This window comes from Homo sapiens, chromosome 7 (assembly GCF_000001405.40).
Source record: "Homo sapiens chromosome 7, GRCh38.p14 Primary Assembly".
NCBI lineage: Eukaryota > Metazoa > Chordata > Mammalia > Primates > Hominidae > Homo > Homo sapiens.
The window spans coordinates 155,799,775-155,824,257 of NC_000007.14; the positions used below are offsets into that span (position 1 = coordinate 155,799,775).

At 57.5% G+C, this 24,483-nt stretch overlaps 1 protein-coding gene across 7 annotated transcripts, besides 6 other annotated features; it reads right to left on the minus strand.

Moving 5' to 3' along the window:
- SHH (sonic hedgehog signaling molecule) lies at nucleotides 206–12,689 on the minus strand. 7 transcript variants are annotated; one of them, NR_132319.2, is made up of 5 exons: nucleotides 9,219–9,389; nucleotides 6,937–7,065; nucleotides 6,522–6,783; nucleotides 684–823; nucleotides 206–471 (listed from the first exon to the last, which is right to left on the minus strand). NR_132319.2 is itself a non-coding variant. In XM_011516480.3 (5 exons), the coding sequence occupies exons 3-5, from the start codon at nucleotides 6,973–6,975 to the stop codon at nucleotides 3,126–3,128; spliced, it is 1,128 nt and encodes a 375-aa protein (XP_011514782.1). In that variant the 5' UTR covers nucleotides 6,976–7,065; nucleotides 7,351–7,648; nucleotides 9,219–9,389; the 3' UTR covers nucleotides 206–3,125. The 7 variants fall into 7 exon arrangements, 5 of the variants coding, with proteins under 5 accessions (XP_011514782.1, NP_001297391.1, XP_011514781.1 ...); NR_132318.2 differs by having other exon boundaries at nucleotides 684–893; XM_011516480.3 differs by adding an exon at nucleotides 7,351–7,648 and having other exon boundaries at nucleotides 206–3,952.
- Nucleotides 5,306–5,485: a silencer, noted in NCBI's record as "silent region_18850". NCBI's record gives its function as "represses an Ori minimal core promoter by ATAC-STARR-seq in GM12878 lymphoblastoid cells {active_cell/tissue: GM12878}" and the evidence as "EXISTENCE:reporter gene assay evidence [ECO:0000049][PMID:35858748]".
- Nucleotides 5,306–6,361: a biological region, named in NCBI's record as "H3K27ac-H3K4me1 hESC enhancer GRCh37_chr7:155597860-155598829".
- Nucleotides 5,392–6,361: an enhancer, noted in NCBI's record as "H3K27ac-H3K4me1 hESC enhancer chr7:155597860-155598829 (GRCh37/hg19 assembly coordinates)". NCBI's record gives its function as "activates a minimal SCP1, AML or CMV promoter by ChIP-STARR-seq in naive and primed H9 embryonic stem cells {active_cell/tissue: H9 hESC(naive and primed)}" and the evidence as "EXISTENCE:reporter gene assay evidence [ECO:0000049][PMID:30033119]".
- Nucleotides 6,362–7,330: an enhancer, noted in NCBI's record as "H3K27ac-H3K4me1 hESC enhancer chr7:155598830-155599798 (GRCh37/hg19 assembly coordinates)". NCBI's record gives its function as "activates a minimal SCP1, AML or CMV promoter by ChIP-STARR-seq in primed H9 embryonic stem cells {active_cell/tissue: H9 hESC(primed)}" and the evidence as "EXISTENCE:reporter gene assay evidence [ECO:0000049][PMID:30033119]".
- Nucleotides 14,989–15,632: an enhancer, noted in NCBI's record as "H3K4me1 hESC enhancer chr7:155607457-155608100 (GRCh37/hg19 assembly coordinates)". NCBI's record gives its function as "activates a minimal SCP1, AML or CMV promoter by ChIP-STARR-seq in naive H9 embryonic stem cells {active_cell/tissue: H9 hESC(naive)}" and the evidence as "EXISTENCE:reporter gene assay evidence [ECO:0000049][PMID:30033119]".
- Nucleotides 15,931–16,432: an enhancer, noted in NCBI's record as "H3K4me1 hESC enhancer chr7:155608399-155608900 (GRCh37/hg19 assembly coordinates)". NCBI's record gives its function as "activates a minimal SCP1, AML or CMV promoter by ChIP-STARR-seq in primed H9 embryonic stem cells {active_cell/tissue: H9 hESC(primed)}" and the evidence as "EXISTENCE:reporter gene assay evidence [ECO:0000049][PMID:30033119]".

Sequence of the window (24,483 nt, forward strand, 5' to 3'; positions counted from 1 at the left end):
AACTCCCTCAGACAGGGGAGTCACGTGCCTGCCTCCTTGCGCCAGTAAAAATTCCCAAAGCCTGACCAAACCCACCCATTGAGAGAATGGAGTCTGCACTCTCAATGAGAATTTCCCTCACAGTCCCAGCACTACCTCGTGGAAGACGATGAGAAACACAGATGACAGTTCGGGAGCGGGGTTCTGCCACATAACAGACACTGAAGAGAGTCTCTGTAATTTCTTTAATTATTCAAACAATAGAGCACAAAGATAACAGTTTCAAGTACATTGTGATACACGTTTTGACAGGAATAGATATGCATTTAGTCATGAGGGAGGCTGGCAGCAACCACCATGCATACATTTTGCACAAACTCTTGGCTCCGTCAACCCTGAATGAGAAGTCGGCGCCTCGTCCTGGCGGGGCTGGGCTGCACCCTCTTGATGCCCTGTACCTAGTGTCTCTAAGCAGTGGTTTCCTTTCCTTGCCTGTGAAAAAGAGAATTTTAAATATAAAGCAGTGGACGCATCTTAAGAAGATGGACCAGGAGGGCTGGGGACAGCACCCAGCAGCACGGACACTCTGCCACCGGGCCTGTCCAGGAGGGAGTGCCACCCAGGAGTGAGGATTTCCCATCCGGGTGAAGCTCTGCTCCAAGGTGCCCCAGTCACCAGCAGAGTTGCACCATGGCCTCAGGCACCTTGGGGCTTGGTCAACGCCTGGCTTCTCTCTGATCGTCTGGGCTGCACGGCCACATTGCCAGGTCTGTCTACACAGCCAGAGGAGCTGCTGTGCCCGGTGCTTCTGGTTCGCTTTCGACTGACTTGAAATCAGACTGAACTGTCAAAAGAACAGAAACCATCGCACTTCCTCCGAGATTGTAAACACCAGCCTGGAACCTGCTGACCACCTAGAACACCAAAGAAAAGTCTTTTACAGAAAAAGGCTGAGGACTGCTCCTGAGGAGAGGGCTCCAGAGGCCCTGCGCCATCCACCTGGTCACACACCCTCCACGGAAGGCCACTCAAGGGCAGACCCGTAGCAGAGCAGACCCTCAGGGACTGGGCCCAACCTCGGGAGCCAGCCCCTGCCAGGTGGGGCTGAAGTCTGTTCACTCCTGTTCCCTAAGCCTGGACCACCTTCTACACAGGCTGCAGCTGCTGGGAGGCCCCAAGCTCATGCAGCGCAACTCTTCCAAGGCCCAGCCTGCTCAGACGATTCGGCCCAAAGCACAAAGCATGGCAGACACCTTCCGTAAGCCAAAGAACTGGGAGTAGTCCTCCACCTGGGACCCTGACAACCGCCAAGGGCAGAGACCCTCTTGGCCAAACCTCCAAGGCAGCATGAAGCATGGAAGGACCTTCCCCAGCCCAGCGCCCACAGCAGCATGCTCTCTCAACAGGGATCAAAGTCCACGCCCGACCGCCATGTGACACAGACAACCAGTGTAGCCTGAGGACCTCAACAGCAGCCCCGACATTCCAGCGACTGGCCCTCGCCACTGTGGGCTTGCCACTCAGATTTAAGGGGACCCTCAAGAAAAGAGGATAGGAGCTTCAGAGAAGATCAAACCGGGTCCTCTCTTCTAAGGATGCTTTCTGGAAGGGACACAACAGGACCTCAGAAAGCAGCAATGAGCCTCCTCCCTACAGATCAGAGAAGCACAAACAGGGTCAGGCCAGGGGTCTGCCCAGCAACCACACACAGGAGTCCTAAGAGAAGGTTGTTGGTGGCCATCCCCAGGCCACCTCCTCTGGGCTTACACATCAGGCTTTGCTAGTTAAGGGGTGGGGTGAGGGGGACAGCACAGTCCCCACGAATGGCACTCCCAACCTTTGGGAGTGTAGAAAGAGCTTCACACAATAAATACAAACAGAGCTGAGGTTTCTCCAGCCATGAGAAGAAACAAGTTGGTTTGTGTGCCTACTTTGGTTACCTAAGTCAGTCAGTCTGAGTTCACAGTATAAGCAACACATCTAAATAGAATATTGGGAGCTCCTGTCAGCGCTAGGTTTCCCAAACAAAGAAGCCAAAAACTAAAAGAAAAAGGGCTGCAACAGGAATTCTTAGTTATTAGATACTAAGCGTTCTGTGCATGGCACATTTTATTTCTATAAAACTATTACAAAATATTCAAAAATACATTTTAGTAAATTTACAGCGTTATTTCTCAATTTATTAATGCAAAAACATCCTTTGTTTTCTCTGTACAAACTGCAGGCTCCATCCTCGTGGGCTCGTCACTATGTGCGCTTTTAAAAAATATTATTTTCTAATAAATTCTTTGAAGTTAAAAATAACAGTTCTTCCAGTTTGTCCAAAAAAAAAAAAAAAAAAAAAAAAGAAAAGAAAAGAAAAAGAAAAGTGTGTGTGTATGTTGTGTGTGTAACAGTCTTGGCTTCCAAGAATGTGGCAAAATGGTGAATACAAAGGGAATATGAAACCATAAAGACAACAGAGGAGATGGCTGTTACATCGGAAACTAGTTAAATTAAAATAATATATTTTCATATTTTACACTATTTCAAAAATGAAATGTAATTCAGTTAAGTATTGATCTCTCAAAAAATCTAATTTACAATTCTGTGTATAAAAATATAATTTGTGGACCCCCATGAAGCACGTTTGAGTTTGCACTTGCTGAGAAGCAGGAGATGGAAGGGAGGGATGGCGGGGACAGAGGTTTGCTTTCTGACAGCCGGGACGAGGGACATGTAGAAAAATAGACTCTGAGCAGGTTGCTTGGCCTCACAAAATAATCTTTCCCCCGTGAGTACAGTTCACATGATCATAATAAATTATCCAAGAAACAAACTATTTAAGGCTCTTGAAGGTCCGGTTCATATTATTTAAAACATCTATTCATACCAAACAAATAAATAGCCAGGAGAGGAGGAAAAAATAACCAAAATAAAACAATAACCAAAAAAATTCAAAAAATATATATCAACTAAGCACAACAACAAAACTTCCCGGGGTCCTTGTTTCCTTAGAGTCTACTTTGGACTGTCCTACTTTATTATTCTTATTCTTATTATAACTCAGTCTGGTTCGTGCGCCTTTTCCGAGTGTCTTTTTGCTTTGCGTTGCTGTTGCTGCCCCGCCCCGCCCCCTCCCGCGCCCCTCCCCCGGCCCCCCGGCTTCAGCTGGACTTGACCGCCATGCCCAGCGGGTGCAGGGCCTCGCTGTCCAGGAGCCAGGTGCCTATTTGGTAGAGCAGCTGCGAGTACCAGTGGATGCCCGCGGTGGCCCCCGCACCCGGAGCGTCGGCAGCACCTGGAGCGGTTAGGGCTACTCTGCCGCCGCCGCCCCCGCGGTCCCCGCCGCCGCTGTCCCCGCCGCGGTCCGTGCGCGCGGGCGCCAGTGCAGCCAGGAGCGCGTGCGCCAGGCGGAAGGGCGCGAAGGCCCGGTGCGCCCAGCTGTGCTCCTCGATGACCGCGTAGCACGAGGCCAGCACCCGGTTGATGAGAATGGTGCCCTGGGCCGTGAGCGGCGCGTAGGCGCCCGCGGCCTCCTCGCTTAGGGTCACGCTGTGCACAGCGGCGGGCAGGAGCCGGCGGTCCCCGTCACGCTCGGCCACCACGTACACGCGCTGGCCCGGGCGCACGCGGCTGGCGAACAGCGCCCGAGGCCCCAGTGCGCCCCCGGAAGGCGGCCCCGAGCCCGAGGACGCCTCGGGCTCCCCGGTGGCCGAGTCGTTGTGCGGCGCCACAAAGAGCAGGTGCGCGGCGGTGAGCAGCAGGCGCTCGCGCGGCTCCCGCGTCTCGATCACGTAGAAGACCTTCTTGGCGCCGTCGTCGCGGTCCAGGAAAGTGAGGAAGTCGCTGTAGAGCAGCCGGCCCTGGTCGTCCGCCGCCAGCACGCGGTCCCCGGGGCTCAGGTCCTTCACCAGCTTGGTGCCGCCCTGCTCCAGGTGCACCGTGGCCGAGCCCGGGAAGCAGCCTCCCGATTTGGCCGCCACCGAGTTCTCTGCGGGTGAGGAGAAGGGAAAGAAGAGAGGACAGGGCATTGAGTTCCGAGAGGGAGGCGCGTCTCGGGGAGGAGGGCGCACGCTTGGTGCCCGCGCTCCTAGGCCAGGGGTGCGCAAGGCGCGGGGCGGGGCGATTGATTCCAGGCGGGTCCCGCACACACCTCCCTCCCCCAACCCCACTGCCCCAGGGACAGGATTCCGACACATTCCTTAACGACTCTCTAAGTCTGGGCTGGCGGTCACAGAGGTTGGCTGGCGTTTCCTGCAGAGGCCGGTGACACTCTTTCCTTCCGCCTTCCTCCAACCCCACCCCCAGCTCCGCACACACCCGGCCTCGCCGCGAATCCATCCAGAGGGTGTTTGCTCTGCACTTGGATTCCTCAGGAAGCCTCCTTGAGCTCCCGCGGGCGCCGGGCGCACCCTCCTTCCCTCCCGCCCCGGCGCGGGGCGCGGCGCCTGCTCGCGCACTCAGCACCCGGGCTGCGCGGCGGAAACCCCTGGCCCGCCTGCCCGCCTGCCCGCCTGCCCGCAGCACCCTGCCGCGCCTCGGCGTGGGCCTGCGGAGGGGCGGGGGCGGGGAGTGAAAAATAGCTGCAGTAGTTGTAGCAACTGGACAAACATTCCAGAGATTGGCCGAGGTGTGAAAATCCGAGGCTTGTGTGGATTTTCTAATTAAAATCCAATAAAGGGCCCAGCATTGTCATTGTGATTTCTGGGATAAACAGGAGACACTCTTGGAAGGGGACACTTCCATTTTCTCCCCTCCCTGTTCTCAGCTCACTCTCTCCCCAGCTCGCGGGCCTCCCCCTCCCTATTTGCTCAGGTGCAACCCCCCCCCACCCCGTGTGCAATTCACAAGCACTATTTGCACAGCCAGGCCTCTCTTCCAAGCACTCAAGATGTGTATTTGAATTTTAAATGGCGGGGCCTGTTCGGAGCGCTGGAAGCGCCGGGTCTCAAGGCCCCTTGACTACCCGCTTTCTCGAGCCCTCTGTCGCTCTCTGAGGCTCACTGTCCCCAGGACAATAATTGAAGTTGGGGCGGAGCGCAGGGGGCCGGGGAGGAGGGCGGGGAGGGCCGTCTTCTTTGCATTCCAATCTCCGGGATCATGCTTTTTGCAAATAGAGATTGCCAGAAAGAATCTTCCTGCTGGAATTACAGGGGGCTTTTAATCTTCTCATCGGTTTCTCTGGCATGAAGTGCGGGGCTGGCCGTTGGAGGCCCTCCGTAGCCCCCCGGAATGCGACCCCGGGCGCTGGCGAGCCCGAGTCGTCGAGTCGCACGGCCCGGCTTGACACGCTGCGCCCCGCGCCCCCGCCCGTGTGCTCAGAATGCCAATGAGCGGCTCCCGCGCCGCGGCTCCGCTCTCCCGGCGCGATCCGGGGGATGGATTAGCGCTGCTCACTTGGGAGGAGGCCTCCGGAGACCCCCGCTAGGGGGACCCCGCGGGCAGGGAGCCGGGGAGGAGGTTTTGCGCAGGGGGCGCCCTGGGCCCAGGGGCCGCCGCCGAGCCCGCGAGGTGGGGGCGCCGCCTCCTGCCTGCCTGCAGCCGGGAGCTCTCCGGGCCGCACACCCGCCCCTGCCGCCCCCGCTCCACGCCTTTGCTTTCTGTGGGGACGAGAAGCCACTCTAGCCTTTACCTACAAGTGTGCCTTGACACCTTAACAGTGTTTTCCTACTAACATAGTGCCATTAACATGGAATTTAGGAGACAAGTAGGGAAGCCTGGAAGGGGGTTGAGGAAGGCAGAGTTTCCCCGAAATTCACCGTGAACGGCTTTGCTAAACGTGCCAATTTATGCGGGCGGAGAAGAGCGCTGTGCACACAGCCTCGGGCCGGAGGTTTGCGTGCGCGCGATGGCGCCTCCTCCACGGCTGTTCCTCGCCGGCAACAGCGTGTGGCGTTGCAGGCCCAGAGAAGACAGCCTCGCGCCGACTCGGGCCGGCGTTTCGGGGCCTGCCCGCCGCCCAGGGCGTCCCGGCCCGGCTCCCAGTAGGAACGCAGGCTCCGGGCGCGCCGCCTCCAGATGCTGGAGGTGGTTGCCCCTGGGTTTACTGCCGCCCACCAGGCCTCTCCCCAAAGGCAGCTTAGGATCCACGGGCGCCCGGCGGGGAGGAGCCAGGACGCGGGCTCCGGGGCAGGATAGACACCCCTGCGCTTGGGATAGCGGGTGGGGGCGGTTGGTTCTTAAGCCCTAAACGAGAGGAAGGAGCTCGCCCAGACCTGGCTAACCGCGCAGGGCTGTCTTCCCTCGCCTGGAAGGGCCTAGCGCCCCTCCCCCAGTCACGCTTTCCCACCCCCTGCAGTGGGGGCTCCAGAAGCGGGCAGGAAGCCACAGGACCCCATCTCGGGGCATGGAGAACCTTGGGCTCTGTGGCCTCAAAGGTAGGGGTGATTTCGAGGGGCCGGCACCTCACAGGGCAGGTTCCACCGCGGAAACGCAGTCATCGCCCAGCGACCCTGCTCCTGGCCCTCAGCCTCCCCCCAGGTTTCTTTTTCTCTTGAATCAAGCCGAGGTGCGCCAATGGCCTTCCTTGGGTCGGATCCGGGGGGCCAGGGCCAGCTTACCTGCTTTCACCGAGCAGTGGATATGTGCCTTGGACTCGTAGTACACCCAGTCGAAGCCGGCCTCCACCGCCAGGCGGGCCAGCATGCCGTACTTGCTGCGGTCGCGGTCAGACGTGGTGATGTCCACTGCGCGGCCCTCGTAGTGCAGAGACTCCTCTGAGTGGTGGCCATCTTCGTCCCAGCCCTCGGTCACCCGCAGTTTCACTCCTGGCCACTGGTTCATCACCGAGATGGCCAAAGCGTTCAACTTGTCCTTACACCTCTGCGAAGACAAGGGGACCCCCACCGACGGACACGTTAGCCTGGGCAACCGCCACCCCTCCCGGCCCCTCCATCAGCCTGCCCTGCCCAGTCTCAAGGCGCGAGGGCCATGCGGAGAGGTGGGGAGACGGGGGTTGGAATGGCCCAGACACACCGAAGAGCCGGGCCCTGGGCTGGGGAAGAGGGACAGCATTTGCGGAGGAGCGTGGAGGAGCACGTCCTCTCAGGGTAGAGCTGGGGGCCTTTCTCCAGGTCCTGAAACAGCCGATGCTCCTAGCGAGGCCTAAGAAGCAAATAAAGTTTCTCTGAAACAAGTGACCTGCATGTTTAAGACATCAACTACAGGACCCTCCAGGGGCACCCTCTGGGATACCCGCCCCGCCCCCACGTTGCCCTCCACTTCTAGCCCCCCTTCTGGGGCCCCTTTCTCCACCTGCGCAGCCTCCACCTTCTCCCCGCGTAGAATCCCTCACAGCAGGCCTGACAGAGACCTGGGCGCAAGTTCCCAGAAATAAAGAAAAATGCACTGCGCACTGCTTGGAGAATTGAAGGCCTTGCATTTATTTACCTCAGGCCCTAACCCTATCCGAGGCAGAGGGGAGGCGAGAAGCCGCTGGCGGGGCTGCGCGGTGGGCGGGAGCCTGGGTGGCAGGCGGCTAGGTGAGTTGCCACTTGCAGCACAGGCCGGGGCCGGGACAGACATTCTTTATCTGGACAGCCACATTCTTTTTGCCCGTCGAACCCTTTTCTGCCTGGCTTTTCTGTGGTCTGATTGTGTTTCTTGTTTTCTTTAACCTGTTCCCTTCCTCCGCTCTTGTGTTCTTGGCCCCAGCATAGAATGGCGTCCAGCAAGTTTGAAGAGCAAACTGAAGAGGTGGAGGGAGGGGGAGGGGTTTGAGAGGAGGGGGAGGGGAGACAGGAAGGCCTGAGGTCTCGGAGTCCTCCGCCTGGGGAGTTTCCCAGGAAGTTGCCTGGGAGGAGGCAGGAAACACTGACTAGGCAGATGCAGACGGGGTTACCTGGGATTCAGATTGTGGGGGTTCCCCTGGAATTCTGGGGTCACCCTCAGATAAGGATGCGACAGAAAGCAGTTGAATCCACTGTGTGTGTTTGTGGGGGCACTGACTTGCTTCCTGGATGTTTACCCTGCTGCTGCTGGTGGGACATGGGATTTAAAGAGGGGGAACTGGCACAGATGACGATGGTGGCATCCCCCAAGAAGCTGCGCCAAGTGGAGGCCGAGGGGCAATTTCAAGGTGACTTCTGCAGAGGGCGGGGCTGACCTCTAACCTCCTCCAGTCTGGAAGGATGCTCTGCTTGGAGTCTGGTTGTCGCCATGGAGGGACAGCTTCTATCCAGGGCCCTAACTGTAGCGTGGGTTGGGGGGACTCTTTCGAGAGGGTGGGGCGAGGACGCTGGCCCCACTGCTGCGGCGCTTTAAGGGGACGTGACAAATTGCGCAACAGGAAAAGTCCTGTGTATCTGGCAGCAATAAAACCCAGTAATATGGTTGTAGAGTTCAACATGCAACAACTGGGGGTGGGGTAGGGCTGGGGGCCGCCCTGGTAACAGGTCAGTGCCTGCATGTTTGTGGGCCTGCCAGCAGTTAAAAAAAAAAGTCGGAAGGGCAGAGTTTGAGTGAGGTCATCTTGAGGATTGAACGCGTTTTACATGAAAATCAATCAGTAAACCAGGGTCAGTGTAGAGCTATGATGTGAGGCCCGTTGCGCGCAGGCGCACACCACCAACACGCACAGGGACCCCCATGCAAGCCCCCCACCCCACCGCAGCTCCCTCCCCTGGGGCTGTGCCGAAGAAGCTTTAAACAGCTTCCCAGGAGGGCAGCCAGGGAGAGGGCGGCAGGGTGAGGATGACCTGGCCCCCAGCTCTGTGAGCTGCGCCACTTGGGCAGGCATGGAGGACCCCGGGCAGGGAGACCCGGGTCCAGCCGGGCCGCGACGGGAGGTGGCTGCGCGAGTGAGGGGCGGAGGCCGAGGGTTGCTGGAGTTGGCGCCCCCGCCCCTTGCGCCCTCCTCCGGCCCGGGCTCCGCGCGGCCTCGGCTGGCGGCCTCTCCTCCGCCCGCGCTGGGCGGGATTGTCGCAGGCAAAGCCGGGAAGCCCAGGCCGGTTATTAATTCATTGGGTCGTGTGCCGCGAATCAAGCCCGACTCTGTGCAGCCACCGTGAAGCCCAGCAGGGCCGCCGGGGCCGGGCTTTGTGTCGGCGGAGGCCAAGTTGTTCCCCACGCCTGAGCTCCCGCCTACCTCCCTGATCTGCGAGCCGCGCCGGCGAGTGTCACCGCCAGCAGCCGGTGGGCTTCCCCCAGCGCGGGGGCGGGGGCGTCCCAGCTTCAAGACAGCCCCAGCCCCTAAACGCACCTCTCTCCACTGTCCTTTCCCCCAAGCTTGGTGGAACAGCCCCTCCCCAACCCCATACCTGAGCGTCTTTCCTGGCGGCCCCAGAGCGCACATTAAATCTATTTAGTGTAGCGGCTCGGGACCCCACTCCAGGCTTCAGATCCGGCCCTCTGGCCTCCTGCCCCTTAGGAGCCCCCTGGCCGCCAGCACCCTCGCCTGGCACCTAGGCCCGCGCGGGGAGAGCGTGTCTGTCTGCGCTTTCCTCTCCCGGGTTAATATTAACCGGCAGCTCCTGCGTTCCGGAACTGCTCCGAAAGTTCCACTGGGGACGATCTCGCCATGGTTGAGGGACTTGGGCGGCAGTCACATTAGAGACCCAGAGACAGGGAGGGAGACAGAAGAAGAGGGTCACGCACCTGGGGCAGAGCCTAGGTGGTTATTTAAAATGAGGGCGGCCGAGCAGGCTCCCCAAACCTCCCGCCGGCCTGGGGCTCCCCTGCCGCCTCCTGCACCCCGCCCCTGCCCTCAGCACCCGAGCCTCCGCCTTCCCCATCCCTTCCTCCCCCACCCTTAACTCCTGGAATCGGGAGAAGGAAGGTAGGGGAGGGATCAACCGGGGATACCTCACAGACTGCCAGCCCCTACCCCCCTCGGTTTTAGGGGACCTTTGTGGGGTCTGCCTGATAATCCCGGCCTGGCTCTCCTCACCCAACCCCCACTTGGGCCGTCCTTCCCCCTCCTTTTGTGTTGGGAACGGGAATAGCCACTGCCCAAGGAAAAAAGTATTTGTTTTCGTTTCGTTCGTCTGAGGGAAGTTGACAGAAGGTCAGAAGTTCAAATGCTGCCTGTGCGCGCGGCGGCGAGAGTGGCCGGGCGCGGGGCCGCTGGGCCCTGCGTCCCCCGGCAGGGCGGACGGGGGTCGGGGGGAGGCCCCCGGGCTGGGGGCTCCGGCTGGGACGCGGAGGCCTAGAGGCCAGGCAGGCGGCGGACTGGGGATGGGGGCGCGTCCCAGGGCAGGCCGGCGGAGCCCGCGATGCGCCCCGGCCCCTGCGCGGGCGCCCCCATCTCCGCGCCCCCGCCGCCGGGGACACTACAGCGAGCCCGGCGCTGCTGTTAGCTCCTGCGGTGCCTGCGCTCCCGCGCGTGGAGCAGCAGAGCCCGGCGGCTCCAGCCCAGCCCCTCGCGCACTGAAACCCTAGCCGCGGGGGATCGATAACCCGGGAGTAAGTGGGGCTGCAGGCGTCTGCCTCGCTGCGCGGCTCTGTGCGCTTGCAGCTTTGCAGCAGGGCTGCAAGGCCCAAGCCCTGGGAAGGTGTGCGAGCCCAGGACCCCTTCTGCGGTATTGGCCTCCCGCAGAGCAGGGCAGAAGCTGACCCACTCTGGCTCTGGGACCTCGGGTATCCACGCCCCCGCCGCTCTCTCCGCAGTGCCTCCCTCCTCTCGGGTTCCGAGGGACCCTGGCAAGGCCCCTCCTCCGCGGGGAGTGAGGGTGACGAGAGGATGGGCGCCTCGGGCTAGCCGGAGAACTCCCTCCAGCCAGCTGCACGCAACGGGCACCCCATGGCCCGTGCAGAGTTAATTGTGGATCGCGCTGCTGTCTGGCACTGGCGCGCGCGTCCACACTCGCGGTCCAGATTTAAGGTGGTCGGGAGCAGATGAGGGAGAGCAAGGAAATCAGGACCATTTCCCATTCCTCTCCCTTCCGACAGCTGGAGCAGGCTACCTTGCCTGCCCCTCGCCTTTCTCGGCCTCAAGCAAGCCTGGGAATCGGGTCGGGAAGCAGGGCGGCACGGAGGTAGCTCCTCTCTCTCTGCCGTCAGTACCCTCCCCCTGCACTTGCGCCCCACCAGCGCCACTCCATCAGCCGCTGTACGCACCTAGCCCTAAAGGTAGGACTTGAATATTTTAATAGGGCAATAAAAAGGATGTTGACCTATATTTGCAAGGAAACCCATTTCTGGCTTCAGTTATACGTGCATGGAGTTTCAGAAAGTCTAGAATTGGCTGGGAGATTGGCAGCTCAGAAATCTCAAAGGAGGTGGGGAGAGAGAGAGGAATTCATATTTTGCTTAGCTTCCCCTCCCCCCACACTAATATTTATTCGCTCTTAATTCTTATGCAAGCAGGTTGAAAACTAAAGTGATGCAATGCCAATAAGTTCTAAGTCCCTCCCCTAAGGTACCTCGGGCTTGGAAGAACGAAAGAGCATCCTTAAAGAAATATCAATACATTCACACTCTGATGGGCACAATTGCGGACACGCAATCGCAAAGCCAGCTCTGCGATACAGCCAGCCACCCAGGGACGGGCGGAGTCTCCCCTGGAGCCCCTGCCTTTTGTCAGAACCGCCTCCTGGCTTTTCCAGTTGAGAATTCTTTGGTGGGGAGGTGCAGGGTGGGGGTAGTGGTGGGAAAGAAAACCACAGAGGCAACGGGAAACGTGGGGGCTCTGAGCTCCAATGCCCAAGGCTACGTTCGTTCGTTCGTACAGTACCAGGAGACCACTTCATGTTTGTGGGAGGGGGATTCCCAGCCTCTCCTTCCATTTCCACTCCTGACTTGGAAAGGGCCGACGCCCCCAAAGTGAAGGTCTCCCCAAGTTACAAGCCAGGGCAGAGGTAGGATGGGGAAGGCCATTGTAGCAAGACTCATCAAATCAGGGCCATAATGAACCACGTCTGTTACCGTCCTCACCCCCACCACACCCTAAACTTCTCCAGCTGGACCCTTGACCTCCATTCTCCTCCAGGAAGAGGAAGAGATGGGGGGCGGGCAGGTGGGTGGGGAAGGAGCGGGTGAAATCACCTTCCTATCTGCCCGAAGAGCAAACAGAGTTAAGTCTGGAAGTGTTCGGCTTCTCGTAACCCCCTGGAAAGCCACACATTCCACGCCCCGGCGCTGGGTTCCTACCTGAGTCATCAGCCTGTCCGCTCCGGTGTTTTCTTCATCCTTAAATATGATGTCGGGGTTGTAATTGGGGGTGAGTTCCTTAAATCGCTCGGAGTTTCTGGAGATCTTCCCTTCATACCTTCCGCTGGCGCCTAGGGTCTTCTCGGCCACATTGGGGATAAACTGCTTGTAGGCTAAAGGGGTCAGCTTTTTGGGGTGCCTCCTCTTCCCGAACCCCCTGCCCGGTCCGCACGCCAGTCCCGAGCATACCAGCAGCGAGGAGACGAGGACTAGCAGCAGACATCTCGCCAGCAGCAGCATCTCGCCCATGGAACTGATGACTTCCGAGCTGTCCCCGTGCGGGTCCGTGCGCGAGTGCGCGCGGCGGGTGTGTGCGTGTGCGCTCTCTCTTGCGCTTTCCCTTCCTCGCTCCGGCTCGCCCGCTCGCTCTCTCCCTCGCTGGCTGCCTCGCTCTTTCTCTTCCTATATAACCTTGCCCGCCGCGGCTGCGGGGGACTCTCCACCGCTCCCCACCCAGACAGGGGCTGGAATGGCAGGCTGCCGGCCGCTGATAACGGAACACATCGGAGTTGGGTCGCGAGACAGCAATCAAAAGACAAAAAGAGTCTGATTTTAAATGGTAGCAAGCCTGGAGAGCTTGTGAGAGAGGCTGCCTTTAGCACTATATTATAGCTGCCAGGGGCGCATCTGATTGGCCAAAGCCGCACAAGCTTGTCTTCTGATGTTAACCCTGAAGAAGACTACGTTTTTTTTTTCTGTTGCTGCTGTTGCTTTATTTTCACCTGAAGGATTCGAGTTAAAAAAAAAAAAATCTTTCCTAAGATAAAGGTGGGCGGGAGGGAGGAGCGCATGTCTTGTGGTAACAGCAGTTACTCCCGGCTTTGTGTACATCCTTGCGTTTCCCCCTGACTTTCCCTGGAATGGTAGGTGCTTCAGTTAAAACCAACTTAAGTTTTTAAAGGACAGTTTAAACCCCCGCAAGCTTCAGTCATCAAGCACAGAGTCGCTCACACATTTGAGGGGCACAGCTGCCCAGCTGTTATTTAATTTTTCTTCCCCAGGGACTTTATAGTGCAGGCTGGCTCTCCCTGCATTTTGAAGAAAGAGGACTGAGCCCCTCCTGAAGACTCAGCCTCTGTGGACCGAGGATAATTATGAGTGACCATAACTTAAAGCACTGGTATTTGAAATGCTTTAAGTGCCTTAGAAAAATGTAAAAATACTGCTCTTTTATTGTGCTTCAATTAATACATTTTTTTTTTTGTAGAGCTCTGCAAATGGGATGGAGGCGTGCTCAAGGGCAGTTACAGAGTGAACTGCGGGCGTCAGGGTGGATGGGCAAAGCAGGTCTGGGGGCTGCACCCCAGCACAGGGGAGAGAGTGGGGGCCAGTGTGTGCGCTGGGTGTGTGGAGGCCATTGCAGGGTGTTGGGGGGGGGGCAGGCGAGTGGGCGAAGCTGTGCTCACACAACCCCCACGATCGATCAGAGCAAAGTGCAGAGCCAGGGGTGAGCTGAATGTGGAATTCAGGCTCCTTGCAAAGCTGGCCTTGTGTGGGGGCTCAGCAGGCCAGCAGTCTTCAGGCACAGGAGCCACCAGTCCTAGGGGCTGCAGCCCAAGGGGTCAGGGGCCCTGGGGGAACAGTGTTCTGGTTAACGAGGGGCTTCCTAGAAAGAGGGCACAGTGCCCAGGAGGTGGCAATCTTTGAGTCTATAATCACCTCACTTTTTGCAGAAAAAGGAAAAAAACTCAAAAGTCCTAAGTAAACCAGGAAAATAAAATTTGAAGCTCCCTCTCAACCCTGCTTTTCTTTTTTTTTTTAAAAAAAAAAAAACAGATCATGCCCTTCCCCTTCTCAATCGCCATCCCACTCATGTGCAATGATTCCTCTAGCATAGGATTAGAGAGTGAGGGTTATTTACGTGGAGGGGAAATCCTGACCCTGAGGAGTCATCAGATGCTGCAAATGTGGCCCTGTGAAGTTAAACACTCTCCCTTGACCCCGGGCCCTTGGAGTGGAGGGGGAGAGGACCCCTGTGAAGCTCAGCCCTCAAACGATGGAAGTTTCCAGAAGTTCCCTTTGCAGATCAACTTTTTGTGTGTGTGGTGGGGGAGAGAAGGAGAGGAGCATCTTAGGACACATCTGTCTTGGGCATGAGAGGCTGAGCGTTAACAAGACTCGGTGGCCTGGGTGCCTTTGGGGAGGTTGACCCGGGCTCCCCTTCCCGCCTCTCTTTCTTGTTCCTTTCCATGGTTTGTGACGAATCGTGATCCCTGGAGGAGAGCACCGTGGGGGAGCAGCGTCCACTTGACCAGGCCCCGGCAGCCTCCACTGAGCGGAGCTGGAGCTCAGCTGAGCCCAGGGATTCTCCAGGCGGTGTGTCTGCGCTGCCTGTCCCGTTCCCAGTAAAAACAGACACAAAACAGGACCCGTGTTCTCTCCAGAGGAGGCCGGCCTGTTTGATGTGTCTACCTGCACAGCATGTGGATGTCACATCACTGGGTGGTGCCTGGGCTGGACCAGCGACCTGGCCCAGTGGGACATTTGCAAACTTTTGACTGCCCTGCCTTCCACCCTTGGCATCTCCTCTTGCCCCAGTCCCTCCTCCTCCCCCTGTCTTTCCCCGCTACTTACTCCCTTCCAAATGCAGGCAGAAGGCCCCCCACACGGGTTGCCACCCTGGGGCCTGAGAGATTGGGTGTGCAGCCCTGCCGGGAGGTGGCATGTGCACACAGCTCACCTCTGCAAGGGGCAGGGTGGGTGGGGTGTGCTTTTGGAAGCAAAAGCCTGAGCTGCACAGAGTTCCTTGTGGGCACAGCTGGACGTGGGGTGCCCCCAGGTGCGGTCAGCTCCCTCTTAGCAGAGCGCAGGGAGAAGACGTGGCTTGGCATTGAGCTTGGGTGACTCAGGGCATTTCCTGAAACCTCCCTGCCCTAAGGGATGGCGTGAGGCCCCCTCCCTCCCCTCCATCTCCAGACAGCCCTAGACACCCTGGAGAGCACCTCAGGGGCCGCCCCCCTTGTAGACTGGCCGATCCTCCAGAGTGAAATAATGATGGGCCAGAAAGCCTGCCCCCACGCCTAAGTTCAGAGGGCCTGCCCCCTGCATGGGTTGAGGGGAGCTCGGCGCAGAAAGCAATCCCAGTTATAGACCAGGCTGCTGACTGAGCCCCCCAGAGAAGCTGCTGCTCTGCCCTCCCGCCCTTCACTCCCTGTCCTTCCATCCCACCTGCTCCCCACGGCCCAGCACTGCCTTCCCCTCCAGAGGCCAGGTGGCTCTATCTCTTTGCCTTCCCCCCCCCCCCCAGACCATTTGGCCCCCTCCCCGCACCAGCAGAGGCTCCAAACACCAGCCTCCCTGACAAGGCCAGACATCCGGACATGCTGGGGCTCCGTTATTCATCTACCTGGGCTCTGCCTCTCTTCCTTGGGGTCACGCGCATCCCTCCCTCGCTCCTTCCTCCAGCTTTCCCTCCCCCACCCTCCCCCACCTCCACCCCTTGCCCAGCATCCCTGCTGAGGACAGAAGCTGCCTCCTCTTCTGCCCCAGCCCCCAGGCTCCCTCCTGGGCACTGCCCCTGCCCCTCCTTCCGGCCCCTGCCGCTAGATGGCCTCCTCACTCTGCCTTCGGCTCGGGCTTGGCCGGTTTGGGAAATCCCCGCAGTCCCAGGTCGGGAGGCCCGGAAGCCAGGCAGCCTCCTTCGTTCATCCTCCCCTGGTCCCGTCAGCAGTTTCTGCGCCCCCCTCATCCCCTCTTTCCTTTCCCAGATTTGTACCCGCTGGGCTCTGCAGTTATGGAGCCCGCCTGCCTGGCATCTCCAGGTGCTGCCTCTGTTTCTAGTCTCTGGGGTTGGCCTCTAATCTTTCATGTCCTTCTCCCCTTTGATTTTTCTTCCTTATAGTAATTCCACGCAATCTCTTTCCATCCAGCCATCCAGTCTCCACTTCTTTCTGGATTTTCCCTGTTTTGGCCGGTGGAACTTCTGCACTCCAGTTCTCTTGTGATTGCATCCAGGGCCTTTTGAATTTGGGAGGGATTCTGCACCTTAGCCCCCTTTCCCTAACTCCATGGTCCTCCCCATCCCCGGGCCCTGGGGATGTGAGTCTCCAGCTTCCTGGAGGGCTCAGGCTCTGGATAGCCCAGGAAATCCAGCCACACTCTGCACAGCACCCTGATTGTGGCCTGGCTGCAGGTGGATTGAGGCAATGCTGTCCTCTCCGTGCCAAAGCCCAGGAGCTTTGGGGTGGCTGCAGGGCTCTCTGGACTCCTGCAGCCACATCCTCATGGCACCAGCGCTGAGGGCAGGCCCGCTGGGAGGCAGCTGCCAAGACACACAGGGCCTCGGGGGACCATGGCTGGCATGTGGAGCCAGCTACGCTGGGTGCCCACTGTGCAGCGTTTCTCAGTAGTGCTGTGCAGCGGGCACGGGGCCACCCCCAAGCTGCCACAGGCCCCATGACTGTGGGTGCAGCCTGGCTTCTTCCCGGCCTGGGCCACTCTGTGAAGCAGGGTGCAGGAGACACTTTGGTGACTGGGATTCCTGCCCTCATGCCTGTCCGCCTGCACACCAAGCCCCGTGGAGCCCCGTGGAGCCCCGTGGAGCCCCGTGGAGACCCGGCTCACATGCATGAAGGCTGCAGGCTCTGAGAGATGAGGACCCTGCAGTTTCTGGGGACGCTGGAAAGATCACACAGCCAGCTCTGTCGAAGTAGACATCCTAAGGCAGGCGATCAGCTCGGATGTGAACGTGCAGCCTGAACTATGTTGCTGTGTGCCTTTGAGCTGATTTTCTCTCTTTAGACCATTGCCTGCCTTTGTTGAGTCACTTCGTCTTCATTTTAAGTAATGGACACCTCTTCTTAGGTCTAAATAATGCCTCAGGTGTGTGCCTCTGTACAGTTTCAAAGTGCTCTAGCACCGTTGTCAGGGGAGCCTGAAGCTACATTTGGGAGTTGGAAAGGGAGGCACAGTGTGGGCAGGTGGCCTCGTGCCCAGGGAGGAAGGGACCCTGCGTCTGCATGCTGCTCCTTGCACCCCAGCTACCTAGAGATCCTTCCACAAGACCATCATTGCTTCCATCTTGGAGCCTAGTTAAGAGGCAGGTGCCCCAGACAGTTAATGCATTAAACCCTTGCGCACATGGGCCTCACCTGGGGGCTGAGAAAAAGCCGACAGGCCGCGCTGAGGCCTCACTCCCGAGCACTCAAATCAGAATTTCTCCTTTGCTGACTTCCCTGATGGGGATCCCAAAACCCAGGAGCGAACGTGGGAGGGGGAGATGTGGGTGCAACTGCCAGCTCCAAGCCCCCTGCTGCTCCCCCAGCCCGCGGACACTCCCCAGCCTCCGGATGCTCCGTCTGCTTGGCCCCCCAGCCCCTGGACGCTCCCCAGTCCTGCTTGATGCCTGTGTGCCTTGGGTCCCGTCTGCCCGGCTGGGCCTGGCATGGAGCTGCACGCAGAACTTCAGACAGCAGCGGGTGTGCATGTGTGAGCTTTAGATTCTTTCTGGAGAGCGTGTGGAGGGGGTACGGTGAGGGGTGAATGTGACTGGGACACATGCAGTGCCTGGAGGCTGGGGTGCCTCGGAGGATTGAGGATGAAGCTGTGTGTTGGGGCGTGCTGGGGTAGTACTGCCGCGAGCAGTTTTTCCCAGAACTGCCCAAAGCTGGCTCAGCCCACTCCCATTGAAGGAGGGTTCCCTGGCTCAGCCACTCCCATTGGAGGACGGCTCCCTGGCTCAGCCACTCCCACTGGAGGAGGGTTCCCTGGCTCAGCCACTCCCATTGAAGGAGGGTTCCCTGGCTCAGCCACTCCCATTGGAGGACGGCTCCCTGGCTCAGCCACTCCCACTGGAGGAGGGTTCCCTGGCTCAGCCACTCCCATTGGAGGAGGGTTCCCTGGCTCAGCCACTCCCATTGGAGGACGGCTCCCTGGCTCAGCCACTCCCACTGGAGGAGGGTTCCCTGGTTCAGCCACTCCCATTGGAGGAGGGTTCCCTGGCTCAGCCACTCCCATTGGAGGAGGGTTCCCTGGCTGGCTCCATAGCTGCTCTTCTTCCACGAGTGAAGCCACAGAGCCTGTTCTTACCCACTTCCTGCACAAAGGCTGTTTCCTTACAGGAGCAGAGTTAAGCTGAGATCCACCAGGCAGGGCTGGCAGCTGATGCCACAAGTTCCACTGAGAGAATCAGTCACCGAGGCTGCTCCTGTGCCCTGTGCCCTGTGCCCTGTGCCCCTCCCCGCTTCTGCTCTGCCCACTTCCATGCTCCCTTGGGCCACGGAACTGTCATGACTCGGCCTGAGAGCAGTGGGCTCCCATGTCGCCTGGGATCTCCACAGTCAGAGTGCTGGTCTCCAAGGCCCTTCAGGGTTGTATTTTCTAGAGACTTGAACATCCTTGTAGGGTCAGAGATTATCTGGAGATGTCCCCGTGCACTGGGCTGTGGTGAAGGAGGGTTGCGGTCTGTGTGGACTAAGGAGATCCTCAGGGCTCCACCCACAAGCTCCCGGGCAAGCCACGCAGCCCCTCGAGACGTCTGTTTCTTTATCTGCAATGTGGGAGTATGAAGTCGACGATGCCAAAATCAACAGTGCCAACGCCAGAAGCCCTTTCAGCCCTGGGTTCTATGAGCCCCTGGTCTTAGCCTCAGGAGAACTCATGCAACAGTCCCTCTTCAGAGTGAAGAAAACTAAGAATCCACCCGCATCCCACCCCAGTTCTTGCCGTGTATACAAGGCAGAACCCAAGAGTGACCCCCTCCTTGCCCCTTCCTGTGGCATCCACTGGATCGTGGCCCCGCCCACACTGGAGGTCAGCCTGGTTCCAGCAGCCGTTCCTGCCCTGGGGCCTTGGCTCTGTCCTTCACTCGAGTGAGTGCCAGCCGGCGTGCTCCCTGGGGGGACCCACGTATCACCACAGGGACCTGCTGGGTCGGCTTCCCGGGGGGACAGGGCAACGCTGCCCCAGGGGCTTGAGGGGCATGGAAGCCCCCCCAACCTCATCTCTCCAAGGAGTATTTCCCTTCTTCGCTTTCTTGAGAGGGGATCCAGCCCAATTCCCTCTTAATGTGCAAAATTAAGAGCCAGGGGGCATCAGTGGCCAGGGCTGTTTTGGTAGCAGATGCAGAGAGGCAGATTTAGGGGCTGAGGTCCGCGCACCGCAGGTGCAGGGAGAATGTGTGGGGCAGGGGCTGGGTTCATCCAGAGGTGGGAGAAGGGCACAGAAAGGGAAACTGAGGGCCGAACACACATTTGGGCTTTGAAAAAAGCTGCTAGAACAGGAATAATTTGCCAGGTTTTGTGCTTGTAATTTTGACGTTATTCTCATGTTTAGGGATTTTTGACAGGCACACCTGACTGTGTGGCTGGTGGCTTGTTTCTTTCTCTGGGGCTGTGGGGTGCATAGAGAAGGACCTGTGTTTCCTGTGGAGGAATTCCCGGTACAAGGACAGAAGCAGCATTCCAGAGGGGGGCTGTGCAGGGCACCTCTGGGATCGCACACAGAACCCCAACGGGAGAGGAGTCCACAGACCGTGCAGGGCTCTGGGCTCCAGGGGCCTGGCCTGGCAGCAGCACAGCGCTGTGAGATGTGTGCTCAGACAAAGGGGTGATGATTCTACCCGGGCGGCTCCGGGGCTCCTCTCCCAGCCACACCACTGACTTGCAGTCAAGGAACACAGCAAAGAGATCCCAGCTTTCTCTGGCAGGCAGACCGGTGCGCTTTATGCATCGACCATCTCACCAGGCAGCTGCACTCAGCGAGAAGGGAAGTTGGAACTCGTAACTTTGGGTGATAGTAATAGTAATACTGATTCAGTGTTGGCCATGTCTTGGAATTGCTCTTGGATTAAATTTTAATGTGTTAATACAAGCAACCCTTTCAAGGAGGGACCATTGCACAGATGGGGAAACTGAAGCACAAGGAGGTTAAATATCTCCTCTGGGATCACACGCCGGATTTGTGGCAGGGCCTTAAATCAAATTCAGATGACCTGGCTGACAGCTTGCCCTCTGACTCTCTCTGTAGGCAGTGATGCTTCCGGAAGCTTCCATGTGGCGCTCAGCACTTTTCTGTTTGGGTGTATCATTGGGTAAGGGGAGGGAGGAGGGTAGAAAGAGGGCCCCCTCCACCAGGAATACAGAGGAGGGAGCCCCACTTGGACATATGGAAATAGGAGATGACCTGGAAGAGAGACACCACAGTACCCAGGGCCATGCATTTTGGGCCAGGCAGGAAGTAGTCCCGAGGTTCTGGGAAGAGGGAGCATCAGGGGTGCCTGAGAGTGGTGTTCCTGCCCTGCCCTGCCCCACGACTCCTTGCACAGTTTAAAGGCCCCGTCCCCTGGACAGCAGCACCCTGCACTGCCGAGTGGGGCTCAATTTGTGCAGGGCCTTTAGTGCCTATGCTCCCTTGTTGCAGAGCGGCCGACCTCCACCCTTTCCCCACTTTCCAGAGGAGGAGGCTGAGGCTCCCGCCGAGACCTTACCGTCCACTCACAGGGCCGCTGGGAGGGAACAGGCCCAGCCATGCCAGGTCAGGAGAAGCACTACACACACGTGAGGGGCCATCTAGTTCCACAGATGCTCCTCTGCGGTCCACGGCTCCACTGGGTGCCTGTGGAAGACGTCCCAGGAGCGTGTCAGAGAAGGAGCTGACCATGGAGGAGTGTGCAGTGTCAGGGCGGAGCTGGCGCCTGCACACAGGACGCTCAGGTGACTTTGCCCAGGACCACTCAGTCGTGAGTGGTCAGTGTGGGGCCAGGGCTGACCGCAGGCTCCACGCGGCAAGCACCACACTCCAGCCCAGCAGGGCCACGTTTCCAGGCAAGCCGTGGTGTCACCAGGCGGTGGACACAAATTCAGGCCTCAGAGTTAGTCACGGTCAAGGTCATGGGCTTCTAGCTCTTTGGGTTCTTCAGGCAACTGTGGGAAGGAACGAGGCCCAGCGGGGAAGGACCTTTTATGCAGAACAGTCTTTCCCCGGCCGTCCTCAGCGAGAGGCCCTGTTTTGTAGCTTGGGGCCCTCCCACAGTAGGAGGCCTGCACAGGGCACTGCAGCTTCAGAAAGGATGGAGGCTGTGCCACGTAGCCGCCTCACCCTCAGGTCCTCTGCTCCCATCCCTCAGCAATCTCTGTGCACAGCACCATGCCCGCGATCAGCGCGTCTCAAGCCTTCATGTGTCACGTGAAGAACACGTGTTCTCATGGGAGAACAGAGGTGGTGGGCACACTAGCTACTGCTCACAGAGGCTGAGATGCCTGTTCTCTCCTCTGGGCAGATGGCTGCTTTTGCTCGTTTTGATTTTATTTTCCTGACAGATGATTGGTGCAAGCAGTGGCTGTGATACAAGAATCTAAGCAGACGATGTGATTCCAGGGCTCACTCCAGCCTCAGGTCTTCCATTTGCCTCTACCTCCCAGGAGGCCCTTTTTCTTTTCCTTCCTTTCTTCCTTCCTTCCTTTATCTTTCTTTCTTTTTTTTTAATTGAGACAGAGTCTCACTCTGTTGCCCAGGCTGGAGTGCAGTGGTGTGATCTCAGCTCACTGCAGCCTCCGCCTCCCAGGTTCAAACGATTCTCCTGCCTCAGCCTCCCAAGTAGCTGGACTACAGGTGCCCAGTGTCGTGCCTGGCTAATTTTTGTATTTATAGTAGAGGTGGGGTTTCACCGTGTTAGCCAGGGTGGTCTTGAACTCCTGACCTCAGGTGATCTGCCTGCCTTGGCCTCCCAAAGTGCAGGGATTACAGGCATGAGCCACCATGCCTGGCCGTCAGGAAGCCCCTTTTTCATCATTTCAGATGGGAGGGACCACCACGAAGTCTGGCTGACTGTCTTTGCAGCCTTTAGCCTCTTGTGTGGGGAGGTTAGTACCAGCGTCCCTCCTGCCTTGGGCATCTCACTGCTCGGCGTGTGTGCTTTCTCTAGGTCTGCCGTGACAACCTGCTACAGACGGGGGCTGAAAACAACAAAGTTCTTCTCTCACCATTTCAGGAGCTTAGAAGTACATCTTTTGTTATTGCTGTTGTTTGTTTGAAGGGTGAAGGCTGTGTGCCTGATCTCTTTTGTGTCTTCCAGGGTGGCTGAGAGGGTGCTCGACTCTTGAGTCTGAGGTATAGGAGGAAGACTTTATAATCAGGCAGGACTTGAAAGTTGGCAAAGCTCGTTTCCACCCATGATCTCACGGGACCCGCAGCATCCCTGTGTGGTCATCGAGGTGGTGGGGGCACCCCTATATTCACAGACCGGAAGATGGAGGCTCAGAGGGTTACGTGGTCTCCCACGGGACACCCTGTTGGAGGGCGGGGAGCAGAGGTGTAACTGCAGCCCATGGTTCCGGGATCTTTATTCATAAACTCTTCATGAATCCAGAGAGGGGAGAGCTCAGATGTGTTCCTCTCCCTGCATTTCTGTCCCTTGAACTCGGATCTCCCATTTCAAGCCTGCAGATCCCCATGTCTCTGAACCAATGACTCAGTCCAGACCATGCCTTGTGACTCTGTCTCGCTTCTGCCCCCTGGTCCAGTGGCAGCCTCTCCCCCTCCTCTGTGCCTTTCCCACCTTCTCGACCTGTGGCCCTGGGGCTTCTGGCTTATCATGTCATAGCTGTTTGGCTGATGTGACCTCTGGATCATTGCTTATATTCATATTTCACTTTGGGGGTTGTTGTTTGACCTTTGACTTCAGGGTAGTTATTAGTATCCTCAATATATTTGCTAATTTCCAGAAGAAAGCCTTCAGAGTATCTGTCTTACACATCTCTGTAGGTCACACAGCTCCCAGCTCAGAAGATGCTCAACAAATATTTGTCAGTTACCAGAAGTTTCTTACTAATTAGCCAGTTAAACTAGTGGCATGTTATGGAATGAGTTTCAGTGGTTGCTATTTAAAAAGTAAACCAACACACCAAAACAAGCAAACAACAACAACAACAAATAACAACAAAAAACTATGGCAGCTGAAATATCAAATTCGGAATCCACGTAGCTTCTTTTCTTCCCAAGCAGAAGCTGCAAACTTGGTTTTCTGTTGTTCTGATGATAGCGTTGATCAGAGAGGGCCTGGAGGGAAGGTCGTTGTTTTCCTCCTATTTCAAGGTGTTGCACCTTTGGCCAAAGGGCCCACAGCACTGCTTGGAGGAACCACAGGGCTTCAGGACGTGACCGTGCACTGGGGCTGGAATCAGTGTCATTTCTCTGGAGCCAGTGGGTTTGAACTGTCTCGGAACCCTCGTTGAAGTCCACTATCTGCATGACTTTGGACAAATCTCTTCACCTCTCTGAACATAGTTCCCTATCAGCAAAATGGGGACAAATGTTTACTTCGTGGGTGTCATAGGATCCCCTGAGGTTTGGCAGTGAGTGTGTGATGCACAGCTAGAGCCTGGAGCCGAGGGTGTGCTCTGCAAGTGGCTTCACACCTAGACCAACTGACATTGCTTACAAATTCTCTTTCTGGGACTTTTGTGCCACTTAAGTTGGCACAAATACACTTAAGGCCAAAGGCAATTCAACGTAAAATATTCAACTGTTTTCAAACAGATCAGGCCACATAGCAGAGATCACTTCTTTCGTTTGACAAAAGAGGACATTCAATCGGACTGAGTTAATTTAAATAATGTTTCTTTCTGCTGGGGCTGTATTCCCCCTGCCCCTCCCGAGCAGCGAATGGGATGAGCGACCGTGAAGGCGTCACGTGGGAATCCTGATGGGACCTGTCCCATTAGTGTGTGCATGTCACTCACGGAGCGTCTACACTCTTAAAAATAACCTCATGAATTCTTTTATTTAGGGTGGAAACTCTCCACGGCTTTCTGGCTCTTTACACGTGAGGATTCTCTGCAGCAGTGCAAGGCAGCCTGAGGGTGAGGCGCCACTAATAATGATGTGTTTTCAGGGGGCGCCTAGTCCTCGCCATGATGCTGTGGGGGAGAGACAGACCACGTATTATTAACTCAATTTGACAGATGAGGAAATTTAGGTCTGAAGAGAGACTAAATGACTTTGCCTACAGTCACTGAGCCATGTCTCTCGCCCGTGCTCCACTGTTCTTTCCATTTCTCTGTCTTTCAACTCAGGAGCTGAGTGTGCTGCTGTGGGGTTACCTAGAACTCAACTCTCCTAAGCCTAATGCTCGAGCTGCCAGTGGTGTCTCAGGGCCCGGGCCTCGAAGTGCCCTCTCAACATGTTTCTTTGTCCTAGTGAAGACGGTTCCTGTGGTTTCTGCACGGACTTGTTGTTGGTGGGGTCTGGGCTGTTTTTAGAGCAGTTTATCCACAGAGAGGGGAGACCCCTAAGTGTCATCTTCCCTGGACAGTGCTCAATGTCATTTGTTTCCCCAGATGGGGAGTTAGAGGGGCCTGAAGGAGGTCGGGCTGGGGTGGGGGGCAGCGGGCGGGATGTCAAGAGAAACCTAAAGGCATGAGATCAAGTCAAACTCAA